The 12,783-nt window shown below is 36.0% G+C and overlaps 1 protein-coding gene across 7 annotated transcripts in view, besides 5 other annotated features; it reads left to right on the forward strand.

Annotated features, from left to right (window-relative positions):
- CD55 (CD55 molecule (Cromer blood group)) overlaps positions 1 to 12,783 on the forward strand; it is a 39,289-nt gene that overhangs the window by 4,163 nt on the left and 22,343 nt on the right. For all 7 annotated transcript variants that reach the window (NR_125349.2, XR_007095644.1, NM_001114752.3 and 4 more), the window contains exons 5-8: positions 912 to 997; positions 5,268 to 5,456; positions 10,853 to 10,978; positions 11,489 to 11,569. Coding sequence is in view for 5 of the 7 variants with exons in the window: in NM_001114752.3 (NP_001108224.1) it covers positions 912 to 997; positions 5,268 to 5,456; positions 10,853 to 10,978; positions 11,489 to 11,569 (482 nt within the window). In the remaining 2 variants the exon portion in view is untranslated. The remainder of the gene's footprint in view (positions 1 to 911; positions 998 to 5,267; positions 5,457 to 10,852; positions 10,979 to 11,488; positions 11,570 to 12,783) is intronic.
- Positions 9,862 to 10,041: an enhancer, noted in NCBI's record as "active region_2441". NCBI's record gives its function as "activates an Ori minimal core promoter by ATAC-STARR-seq in GM12878 lymphoblastoid cells {active_cell/tissue: GM12878}" and the evidence as "EXISTENCE:reporter gene assay evidence [ECO:0000049][PMID:35858748]".
- Positions 10,052 to 10,101: an enhancer, noted in NCBI's record as "active region_2442". NCBI's record gives its function as "activates an Ori minimal core promoter by ATAC-STARR-seq in GM12878 lymphoblastoid cells {active_cell/tissue: GM12878}" and the evidence as "EXISTENCE:reporter gene assay evidence [ECO:0000049][PMID:35858748]".
- Positions 10,152 to 10,221: an enhancer, noted in NCBI's record as "active region_2443". NCBI's record gives its function as "activates an Ori minimal core promoter by ATAC-STARR-seq in GM12878 lymphoblastoid cells {active_cell/tissue: GM12878}" and the evidence as "EXISTENCE:reporter gene assay evidence [ECO:0000049][PMID:35858748]".
- Positions 10,612 to 10,671: an enhancer, noted in NCBI's record as "active region_2444". NCBI's record gives its function as "activates an Ori minimal core promoter by ATAC-STARR-seq in GM12878 lymphoblastoid cells {active_cell/tissue: GM12878}" and the evidence as "EXISTENCE:reporter gene assay evidence [ECO:0000049][PMID:35858748]".
- Positions 10,712 to 10,791: an enhancer, noted in NCBI's record as "active region_2445". NCBI's record gives its function as "activates an Ori minimal core promoter by ATAC-STARR-seq in GM12878 lymphoblastoid cells {active_cell/tissue: GM12878}" and the evidence as "EXISTENCE:reporter gene assay evidence [ECO:0000049][PMID:35858748]".

A 12,783-nucleotide genomic window follows, 5' to 3' on the forward strand; every position in this document is an offset into this window, starting at 1 on the left:
CTCCTCAAAGACCCTTCATCATGAGCTCATCACAGTTAAATTTAGTAAAATGGGGGCAAGAAAGGAAGATTTCTTAAACCACCAGAATTCTCTAAATTCTGATTTCAGTAAATATGTGATTCAATATAAAATTTTAAATGTGATTAATAAAAAAATTTGAGATGATGATACTTGCAGAAATCTTCAAATGTTAAATACTAAACCAATCTTTAGTTGACCTAAATAATGAATTTGCATGAGTTTTTCTATATGCAAACAAGCTGTTACAAAACAGCATGAGTTAAAGACATTCCTAGTGTGAAAGTATTCTAAGTTCTTTGATAAGTTCTCTGTATAGGGAGAAGGAACTCATTCATTGAGTACCATCAATGTCTCAGACACTGTTGAAAACTTTACATTTATTTTCTCATTTCATATCTGTAAATTAAATAATTCTATTTTACTCTGTGTGTGTCCCTATTCTTTATAAAGTAAAAATATCAGTATCACTTGTCTCCTATACGAAACACAGATATTGGTTAGGTCATGAACACAAAATCTGGGAAGTACTTTGAACCCTTTAAATATAAGTACATTCTATTATTCTGTGAAGCCCATATTTAGAACTCAGAGGTATAAAATGTTCAATCATCTATGTCATTTAAAAATGTTTAAAACACTTTTATGCTTTCTAACATATTCCCCATGCAAATAAAAAATGTACATGTCTTATCTGTTTTTACTCTTTGGATGTCACGTTTTTAAACTTAATTTTTCTTTTCCTTTAAACTACTGTGTGGACTTTTATCAACTACTGTTTTATATTCACCTAATTGTGTAGTAAATATTTTAAGATAATAACCTGGAGAATTTGAGGAAAGTCAAATATGTGTGAATGTAACAAACTCTTTTTTCTTCCCCTGTTGCTTTAGGTACAAATTATTTGGCTCGACTTCTAGTTTTTGTCTTATTTCAGGCAGCTCTGTCCAGTGGAGTGACCCGTTGCCAGAGTGCAGAGGTAAGAGTTAAAAAATCTAAGCACTCAGATTGTGAGGCTGAGTACTCAATGATAAATTAATTTCTGCCCCTTAAGAATATTAGCACAGTGTGTATTTGTAGCAAACCCACCTTTCAATATATGAGTGCTTTGCTAATTTTAAGACCTTTTCTAGTGATGTTCCTTCATTTAGCAGCTGTGAAGATAAACCAGCAAGTTTTCTGAGTCCCAATTCCCAAATTGTAGAATGAGGATTAAAAACAAACTTAGGTTTGTATTGCACTTGGTCATTTATTGTCTAACCATTACTTCTAAAGTCAAGTATGATAGGTGAAAGATTTCCGCCCCACAATTTTGTGTAAGAAAATAGTGTCAATCAGAGGGTCTGTAAGACTTGACCCCATATCCTAAAACAAGTGGCAATGGAAGGCATTTAACCAGGTCTCTTATTTCAAACCCAGCATTTTTCTAAAATCCAGTGTTGCCTACATGCTGCTTCTTAGGATTAAAATAATTAACCGAGATAATTATCTAGAGGGGTTTTAAGGTGTGATATATTCTTATCATTAGAGAGATAAGCTTATACCGTCAAGAAGAAATACTGTGTCTGTATTTGAGAATCTTCTCAAAGAAAGATATGGTGCAGAAATAATATTATAAATGGATATATATCCAGTCAAATTTATGTCAATTAGAGACACATGTCTCTTGGAAATTGAGAGGAATAAAATACATGCAACATTTTAAAATGTAGGCTTGCTTTCTTTCCATCCTTCTCTCTCTCCACACACAATGTGCCCTCCTGCAAATGACTTCTGAAGGCCCTATTGTCAAAATTATTGATAAGTTAAAGTTTTTGTATGTTACTAGGGGAAGAAAACTAGAGTAGATTTAGTGTAATTTATCAAGCATTTATCGATTGACACTCTGGTAGGCAACGTGTACGGTCAACTGACACGAAGACAAATAAAATGAAGCCGTGCCATTAAGGAGCCTGTCCCTGCCACACCCACCATGTGCCCTTCTTTTTGAGATGTCATACTACTACCTTTTTTTTCTCATTGTAGTTGTTTTTAAATTTTTCATCATTGCTACCCAGTAGCACCTTTCCCATTTTCGTTGTCCAGTAAGAGACATTGTAAATGATAGTAAATTAAAGATAGAAAACAAGGAAAAGCTGGGCCATATCTTTTGTTTGACCCAGGCAACATGTCACAAAGTTCAGACAAACAGTCTCCCATCTGAAGCCAGTATTTTCACAAGCACCTGCTGTGTCATGAATTTGACAGAAATGCAAACCCACTTTATCTTCCTGCTTGCACATCTAGGCCACAGCCTTGCTTCCCTATCTGGTGTCTTGAACTCCATGCTGAATATTCTGATGTTCATGTTTTCCTCCTTGACTCTTCTATCCTCTCTGTGACTCAGCAACCACTGACATCTGCATCCTGTAGGAAAGAGCCCCTGTTCTTAAGCAATCCCAGTGCCTTCAAATATCCCTATAAGGCCTTACTTCTTTCAGGATCATTTTGATTTTCCACATAACTTGTTTTGACCATACCAAAAAGATTGAATGGAAAGTGAATTCTTAAACAATGTACTGCTTCACCTCAAGTATGTAGCCCTAGACTATAAACACATGAGGTTGCTTCAGTGTCCATGCGTGAATATGGATACGAAGAAGGAAAGAACAGTGGACACATTCACTAATTGTCTATAGTTATACAGAAAACAGAGGTGCTGCTAGTTTACCTCTGAATAGAGCCTCACTGTCAGAGGACCTGTTTGCTTATCTCTCTGCCAATGTTTTCTTTTTCAAAATTTTAGTTGACTGATGGTATCTGCTAACCTAGAATCAATCCCTGCTATATGACTATCATGCCAGACCCTTCTCTTTATCTTAACTCCCCACATCTCATCCCTAAATCATTGTGCTTTACCTCCTCAATCTGTTTTTCAAACTTGTGTTTTGCTCTCCATCTGTATATTTCTAGCATAGTTTATTATTCCTCCTGTGGACTATTGCAATTAGGGCCACCCCTAACATTTTCAGGGCCCAGGCAAGAATATAAATGGAGGTCGCTGGCCTAAGACCCACCTTGTATCAAATAGCCCTTCCTCTTCCCACACTGTATGGGTTCTCTGGTGCACATAAGCGGACAACTCAGCCTACATACCCAAGACATGTCCACCACATCCACCATAACTTGTATCCACCCTCCATTGTCTGTTGGGTTAGAGGTGAGTATATCAGCAGGATAGACCACCCTCAAGAACATGGACCAGTGGGAGGGACCCTCTCAGGCCCTGGAAGGGGTGTTGGCACAGGGAATTCTGGGTGCTAGTTCCTGGAGCATGTTCTGGAATGGAGGAGAAGTCGTAGGACAGGCTGTCATTGAGTATATGCTATCAGCCTACAAACATCCCACCAACAGGGGAGAAATGCATCCAGAGGAGGGCCAGAGCACAGCCTTTTAAAATGTGGGGTTTGAGGCAGCAATCTTAGTTGCCTGAGTTCAAGAGTGACACTGATAGCAATGGCCTCCTGCCTCCATTCTTTCACTCTATTAATGTTTCATCCATATTTTACCCAGAGCGATCTGAAACACAGATGTGACTTAGACATCTATTTCCTCCTTAGAGCTTATTCATATCTCCTATCACTTAAAAAGCCCAAATTCCTTAGTATAGTGTACAAGGCAGCCATGGTCTACCTACTGCTTGACACTCAGGTCTTGCCTTCATGTTTTATGCCTTATACATGCAAACTGCTGTGGTTTCCATGTACCTCTTTTTTTTCTTTTTTTTAAATTGAGACAGGGTCTCACTCTGTTGCCCAGGCTGAAGTGCAGTGGTGCGATCACAGCTCACTGCAGCCTCAACCTCCTTGGCCCAAGTGATCCTCCCACCTCAGCCTCCCTTGTAGCTGGGACTATAGGTGCACACCACCATGCCCAGCTAATTTATGTATTTTTTGCATAGACAGGGCTTCCTCATGTTGTCCAGGCTGGTCTCGAACTCCTGGGCTCAAGCAGTCTGCCCGCCTCAGCCTCCCAAAGTTCTGGGATTACAGGTGTGAACCACCATGCCCCGCTGCCCCTTCTTTACTTAGCTATATTTTCCTTACTAAGAGTTAGTTCCCTAGCCCATCAGAAAGATTCCCAGGCTGGCTACTTCGGGATGACCCTTGCATTTTTTATTGAAATCATTTCTGAATCTTTTTTCCCACTAGCTTTTAAGACATAGGAACTATATCTTGTTCAGCTTTGCGCTTCCAATTATAAAAAAATGCCTGGCGTGTGTTAGGCACTCAGAAAATGTTTGAACTGAACCAATGGTGTGTGTGTCTCTGCACACTCTAAGTTAGTGTAAATCAGAACAGCTTGTTGTTGCTGCTTGTTTTGATCCAAGACCAAAGAGTGATTGATAAATGTGCTAAGTATTTTCTGTGTTCTTAAGTATGTTTGGTGTAACATAATTTGGCATACACACATATTAAATTGCCTTCATTCTTAAAAAAAAAAAAAAGGACAACAACATCATGCCTTTAGATTATGTGGAACCATTGAATTTTTTCTCAGGGTAACTGCCAGGGAGTGGTCCCTTTTTACAGTATAACTAAAAAAACTTCTGCTTGTATTTATTTTGTAAGTTCAGCTGCTCAGTAAGATTGTTTTGAGTGAAGTCTCTGTGAGTCCATATGTGCTAAAAATTTTTACTCTAGAAGTCAAAATGTAATCCTGACATTTAAGATCTCTGCTGTATCCAAAATGATCTATACTTAACTCTTAAACATGCTGCTTGAATTTTCAACTCCTTGCATTTGCTAGCGTTTCCCTCTTAGAGTGAAGAGCAACGCTTTCTCCGCTGTTCTCTCTCAAAAGCATGGTACATATTAGGTTTAAACTCAAGTTCTATTTCCCTGCCCAAGTCTTCTCTGACTACACTGCTTTCATCTCTAAAATCCTGCAGCATTCACTTTTCCTAGCACCGTTTTGATATGCACACATCTTACTATAATTTTTCTTTTACATACATGTTCTGAATCTTATTATTTCTATGAATTGGTCTCAAGGTTAGCATTTGTCTTCTACACCATTTGCATTCAAAGCTCCCACATACTACCAATTACTTAATAGGCATTTATAAGCATCTCTTGTTGGTAATGCTGAATTTAGAAAAATGATATTTTGATTTCTTTAAAATATAATCTTTAACATGTTTTGATCTTATTTGTAAAAATACTTTACTAGTTTTATTTATTTAAAAGATGTTGGAATTGTTTTTTAAGAAATTTATTGTCCAGCACCACCACAAATTGACAATGGAATAATTCAAGGGGAACGTGACCATTATGGATATAGACAGTCTGTAACGTATGCATGTAATAAAGGATTCACCATGATTGGAGAGCACTCTATTTATTGTACTGTGAATAATGATGAAGGAGAGTGGAGTGGCCCACCACCTGAATGCAGAGGTAATCACTTTGGATAGTTATATTTTTGCTTTATTCTTACCCTCAGGTCTATATGTGGGTTGCAGACATTCAATGAACCCCCTAAGAAAAAAATGTAAAATGTTTACATATACATATTTGTATTTTTCTGTGGGACACAATTTTTCTACAGCTTCTCAGAAGGGTCTATGGCTTGTATACACACACACACACACATACTCACACATATTATGATGTGTATATATAAAATAGGCCTCATATTTTTGGCAAATTTGCTTACATTTGCTGTTTTATACCATGTTGCTTTCAGTAAGTTAATATAGGTACTTTGTTTATACAAAGAGATATAAAGTGGTTTATTGGAGGGAGAATCTTAGATTGAAGGCTCTAGATAGTGATCATACCTGTTGCAACAACTGGGAAACTCTTGCCATCTGTTGACTTCACTGAATTAACATTCAATTCTTTTCTGCCTCCAGAATTTCTATTATTATCCATTCTCCTTCATCCTTCTAGACGTTTTTCTTTCAATGTCTTTTTATACCCAGAAGGTACTCTCAGAATCCTTCGAACTGCTTTTTAAATATATTTTAAAAGAAATATTTAGAAGATCAGTGAAGCTGGACTAAACATTGCCTAGTATCAATAGGTGGCGTTTAAGTAGTGGTGAATACCAACATGACTCAAGCATTTGAGTATTTACTTTTATAATTATAATTGAAATTTTATTAGTATGAATTTTAAAAATTCCTTATTAAAATAGATTTTTATTATAAGTGTTATACATAGACATAATGACATAATATTAAAGCCAGGGAGATGAGTACAAAATGGGAAGTGAAAGTCTCTTCTCTATCACTAGTCCTACTCGGAGAGGTAACAATTTTTTACAAATTCTTTTGTTTTATTCTAGAATATAAATAAACATACAAATATTTTTTATTTATTATATCAATGGTGTGGGTATTCATTTATCTAACCAGTCCTCTATTGATGACAATTTAGGTTTTTTGTTCTAGTTTGATTTTTTTTATGAACTATTATTACAAATGATGCTATAATATTCTTGTACATCTGTCACTGCACATATATGCAAGTACATTTGTACAATAAATTCCTTGTAGTATAATTATTTATAACAAAGGTATGTGAATTACATTTTTCATGCCCATTAGTAGCACTGCTTTTTAAAAGACTGTACCAATTTAGTCTCCCACTGATACAACATCATTGTGGTGTTTGCACCTTTAATGATAATGATTGTTAGGGAGATTTGACAATGTAAATGGTAAAAATTTGTATTATTTGAATTCATTTAATTATGAAGTTTAGTGTGTGTGCTTTTTTAATTTGGCCATTTGATCCAGTTCATATTTATTTTTCCAAGTTTTATTAAATGATCAGTTATTTAGAGCTTAAAAAACCATATGGAAGTACCCAAGTAGGTCATGGCAGGCTGATGCTTCCATTAAAACGACTATAAAATCTCAATAGATTACCAAAAAATTATATTTTTTAAGGCATAAGATACAGCTGTGGAAGCAACAAGGTCTGAATGAACTAAAATTCCTGGGGGCAGGTGGTGAAGGCAACCCATCCTGATGTAAGGCAGTTTTCCCTAGGGACCTTTGCTGATTCTGAACCTGGACTAAGGATTCACCTTGACCCAGACAAAAGACCACTTCTAGGAAAGAGAAACCAGCAAAGCTTTAATGGTTATGGAGGGATAGGGTAATACACTGGAAATTGAGGCCCTCAAATGCAGAACCAATTTTTCCTAAAGGCCATTTGCAAATTTTGGGGCTGCATGTGAGGCTGGGAAGGTTGACCCAGAGCTTCTAAAGTACAAAATGAAATCTCTCAGAACCTGATGGTATTTGGATAGCATATACCCACCAGAGGAACAGGCTTTTATCTAGCATACCACAGGTCTCCCCTTTAGCACATCTGTGCTCATTTTGAAACTGTATAGGGAAGGACATTAGGTGGCTGGGAGAACTCTGAAGGACAGACCTGGATCTCCTGCCACCTTCCAAAGGTGAAACAACAAAAATCCGCCAGGCTTTCAGTCAGAAGCCCGGAAGGGCCACTCCCAAGGAACAGAGGCAAGAGCAGAAGTAGATGGAGTCTTACTGAAACTGAAACCCAGCTCAATTCCTAATAGGTTGAAGATATGATTACCTCAATGCAGTCTGCTTATCAGAAAGGCATATCATATCATCCGGATGGTTTATATACAATGTTTGGCATACAACAAAAGACTGTTAGATATGGAAGGAAGCAAGAAAATGTGACCAAATCAAGAGAAAACAAAACCAAATAAAGAATATCCAGATAATTGAGTTAGCAAATGAGAACCTTAAAATAACTGATTAACAAGTTTAAGATGATAAAAGAAAAGAGAACTTCAGTTGGAATCTGCAAAAATGGTGTAAAATGAATATTCTACAACTGGAAAATATCTGAAATTAAGAACACAATAGATAGGTTTAGCTATTCAGGCAGAGCAGGAAACAGTATTAGGAACTGAAAGATCGGTTAAAAATACCCAAACTGATGCACAAAGAGAAAAAGGAATGTGAAATATAGATAAAAGTTTGAGACATTTGAGACATGTTAAACTGTGCTAACACATTAGGAAAAAGAGAAAGTGAGACAAAAAGGAAGAGGGGAAGGAGGAGGAGGAGAAGAGAAATAGGAGCAGAAGAAATATTTAAAATGATACTTACTCAGAATTTTCCAAAACTGATAAAGTACATTAGCCAACAGATTCAAGAAGCTCTCTGACTCTAAGCTGAATAAAAATAAAACCACTTTAGCAAAAAATCTAACTCTAAGCTGAACAAAAATAAAACCACTCGTAGCAAAAACAAACAACAAAAACTTCAAAGAAGCAACAGTATAACTGATTACTGCTCAGCAAAAAATGATGCAAACCAAAAGACAATAAGAAGAAATCTTTAAAATACTGTAAGAAAATTACTGTTCACCTAGAATTTTATACCCAGTTAATATATCCTTCAAAACTGAATGCAAAATAGAGATGTATTCAGACAAAAACCAAGAAAACTTTGCACTAGCAGACCAAACATGCACAGAATGAGAAACTAAAGGAAATTCTTCAAGTAGAATGAAAATAATGCCAGGTAAAACATGAAAATACAAAAGGAAATGAACAGTGACAAGGATAAATGAATACTGAGTTTACAAACAGTGAATGTAATGTCCTGTGGGGTCTGAATTATACATAGAATACAAATGCACAATAACAATGCGAAAGGCAGAAAGAGGTAAATTCATTTAAAGGTTACACAGTTCTAGCAGTACTGAAAAGGTGGTAAAAGTGATAGTTTGCATAATTGACTTATAGTCTAATAAATATTGTGATCTCTAGGGTTGCTACAAATGAATGACAGAAGAATACATAAATCACAAGCTAATAAAAGAATAATAATGGATATTTAATCCAAAAGAGAACGAGAGAGAGAGAAGCAGAAAGGAACACAGAATAGATGGGAGAAATAGAAAACTAATAAGGTTGTTGATATAAACCCAAGTATGTCAGTAATTATGTTAAGTGCAATTTGACCAAGATTGTCAGACTTAAAAAGATTTTAAAAAGAACCTAGTTCTTTACTATTTACAAGAGACACAGTTTAATTACAAGAACACAGAATAGTTGAAAGTAAAGGATGGAAAAATATACCATGCAAATATTAACCCTTCAAAATAAGCTGACACAGTTACATTAATATCAATGTATATTTTAAGATGAAACAGTTCATAATGATAAGGAGGCCAACTCAACAGTAATATATCATAATCTGGAATCTATATGTACTTGATAAAATAGCTTCAATCTATATGTAGCAAAAATGGACAGAAAAAATAGACAAATACACACTCATAGTTAGAAAATTCCACACCTATCTCAATAGCTAATAGGACAAGCAACCAAAAATCAGTGAGACTAAAGATCTGAGCAACAATTAAACATATATACATATGAGACCATTGAATCTATTAGGACCGATGACAGGTATGTTTTTTCAAGTGCGCATGGGCTATTTACCAAAATTGACCCTTTGCTGGGCTCTAAGCTACAATACATTGCAAAAGATTGAAGTTATTCAGAGCATACCTTCTAGCCACAGTGGAATTAAACTAGATGTCAGTAACGAAAAGATAACTAAAAAATTAACTTCTAGGAAATTTAAACTCTAAGGTAGTATATACATTCTCTGGATCAAAACTGAGAACTAACTTGATAGAACAAAGAATAATTTAGAATAGTTTTTATATAGGAGGGTCTTAGAATGAAAAGTTCATAAAAAAACTTTACTTATCTTAATAATGATTATCATTGTTTGAGTGCCTGCTAAATGCTGTTACCTGCTAGGCGTTTTACTCAATTTATCCCTTATAGCAGCCTGTGAGATAGGTTAGGAGGCAGAAAAAAATGACCGATACCATCTGAGTTCCTAGGGCATCCCGTGTGTGATGGGGCTGGCAACAGTCATCCTGGATGATGTAATCTCTTGCTTCAGGGACAGACACTGTGAAATAGCTTACTCAATTATTTCCCTTAATCCTTCCTCAATAATAATTACTCAATCTGTTCTGCTTTTATCCTCATTTTACAGATGAGGAAACTATAGCTTAGAAGGGTTAGGGACTTGCTAGAGCTCACTAATACGTGGTGAAATCAGGCTTCGGCACTACCCAATACTGCCTCAACAGGGGACTTTGTATAAGTGACCCAATGGCAGTTGGGCTCTGAAGACTGAAAAAGTTGCTCTGCTGTTAGATTTATGCTTTTCAGAATATGTTCTTAATGAAAGTTTCACCTGACTTGTTATCTAGTCTGAAATCTAAAGAGGAACTGGTGTATGGAAAGTTGGTAACCAGCACAAGAGAATTAAAAGGAGTTATTTTTACTCAGACTCGAGTATCACTTTAAACAAGACGTGAAACAAAACAAATTCTCAGGCTCATTAAGGTTAAGTGATAGAAAAGGCTGTGACTGTCTCTGTTGGCTTAGTTGTTCTAGAACAACATCCTGTTGTTCTTTAGTATTAGCACAAAAGATAATTTGGGAGACAAAATAGAGATGTGCCACAGAATAAGATCACTAGTGACTCTTTGATTTGTTTATTTCACAAGAAGCAGCTTAAGCACCTCAGTATACTTTGGTATAAGTCTTCTTTAGTTACCCATAGGTATAATTTATATCAAAGCAAACGCAACTTAGAACTTCAGCTCCTTGAGAAATACTCAATAAGAGTTGGTTTCCTGAAAGTCATACCTAGGTGTTTGTGGGGAGAGAGAAAGGATAGCCACAGAGCAAGCAATGGCTAAGAATGTTAATGTGGCCAGCAATATTTAGCTAACTTGTTTCTCAACCTTTTCTTTCACAGGAAAATCTCTAACTTCCAAGGTCCCACCAACAGTTCAGAAACCTACCACAGTAAATGTTCCAACTACAGAAGTCTCACCAACTTCTCAGAAAACCACCACAAAAACCACCACACCAAATGCTCAAGGTACAGAGACTCCATCAGTTCTTCAAAAACACACCACAGAAAATGTTTCAGCTACAAGAACCCCACCAACTCCTCAGAAACCCACCACAGTAAATGTCCCAGCTACAATAGTCACACCAACACCTTAGAAACCCACCACAATAAATGTTCCAGCTACAGGAGTCTCATCAACACCTCAAAGACACACCATAGTAAATGTTTCAGCTACAGGAACCCTACCAACTCTTCAGAAACCCACCAGAGCAAATGATTCAGCCACCAAATCCCCAGCAGCAGCTCAGACATCTTTCATATCAAAAACCCTATCTACAAAGACCCCTTCTGCAGCTCAGAATCCCATGATGACAAATGCTTCTGCTACACAGGCCACACTAACAGCCCAAAAATTCACCACAGCAAAAGTTGCATTTACGCAGAGTCCTTCAGCAGCACGTAAGTCCACTAATGTACATTCCCCAGTGACTAATGGTCTCAAGAGTACACAAAGATTCCCTTCTGCTCATATTACAGCAACACGGAGTACACCTGTTTCCAGGACAACCAAGCATTTTCATGAAACAACCCCAAATAAAGGAAGTGGAACCACTTCAGGTCAGTTGACACTGTTCAGGTTTACTGAGTATGGATCTAATGTGCTATGGTGGAAATATGAACTTGACCAAGATTGCAGGATTAAATGGTCTCTAATTTATTGTAGCCAGGGTTTTTCATACTAATACTTTTTACTTTATTTGGAAGCGGACTTGGATTGTACTAGGGCAAATCTTTAAAAAAAGAAACATTTACAATAATAGAGAAAAAGACTGTGGCCCCATTAAAAAAATGCTAAATTAAGATTGGTAAAAAAAAAAAAATTCTGTTTCCTGTAGTAGTTTTAGGGAGTCAACGAATTATTCAAGACCCCTTCAAAGAACCAAATATGTACTGTCTTTAAGGCTGAGTCCTGGGTCTGGTTCATTGATAGAGATCCATCCCTCAAAGTATGCTAAGGAATCTTCCCGGATTCCCTAGAGTTGCAGATCTGCTAAAGCATCTCAATAGTGTCGTCTAAGTAATTGAAAATACAGAGATCCTTTCAAATAGTTCGTATTATTACAAGGCTCTATAAACGATAGGTTCTCAGTGGCACCAAGTAATTGTGTTTTATCTATAGTTTTACCCATTATGACCGTATTTTCAAAATGATTTTATATATTTCATAATTGTTACCTTGAAGCCTATTTTGCCAGCACCTGGATATTTTTAAGAATTTAAACATTATGGATGTTATCGTTAAAGTTCCCTTAAAACATTTCCCCAGCCCATTTTTCTCCCTCTAAGGCAATTACTGCCCTGAAACTGATGTGCTTACTTCCTGTCTGTTTTCATTCTTATACTCCATGTTTCCATAAGTAGTACATAATAATGTTTCATATTTTTAAAATAATTTACAGAAACTGTGTATGTTTCATTACCTCTTAGCACTCAGCATTGGTTTTGTGGCTTACATTGATTAATTTAGATTTACTATACTAATTTTAATTCTTTATGTGGTTTTTTTACTTCTTTACAATTTTATGACTTCTCTTGGTCTAAAATTTCTAGGTTGAACACGTCCAGTTTTTAATAGGGCAAGGCAAAGAGAAATAAGCATCACTTATAAATTTGTTATAGAACTAACTTTATTGACATATTTCCTTCTGTAAAAAGTATAAGATAATTTAAGACATTTAAACTGAACCTGATGAGTCAATTATAATATATCAATATTTGGGATCAAATTTTACTCTTAGGTACAATTAATTTACTCTTTCAGGGCACAATAT

Source organism: Homo sapiens, chromosome 1 (genome assembly GCF_000001405.40).
Source record: "Homo sapiens chromosome 1, GRCh38.p14 Primary Assembly".
Lineage (NCBI taxonomy): Eukaryota > Metazoa > Chordata > Mammalia > Primates > Hominidae > Homo > Homo sapiens.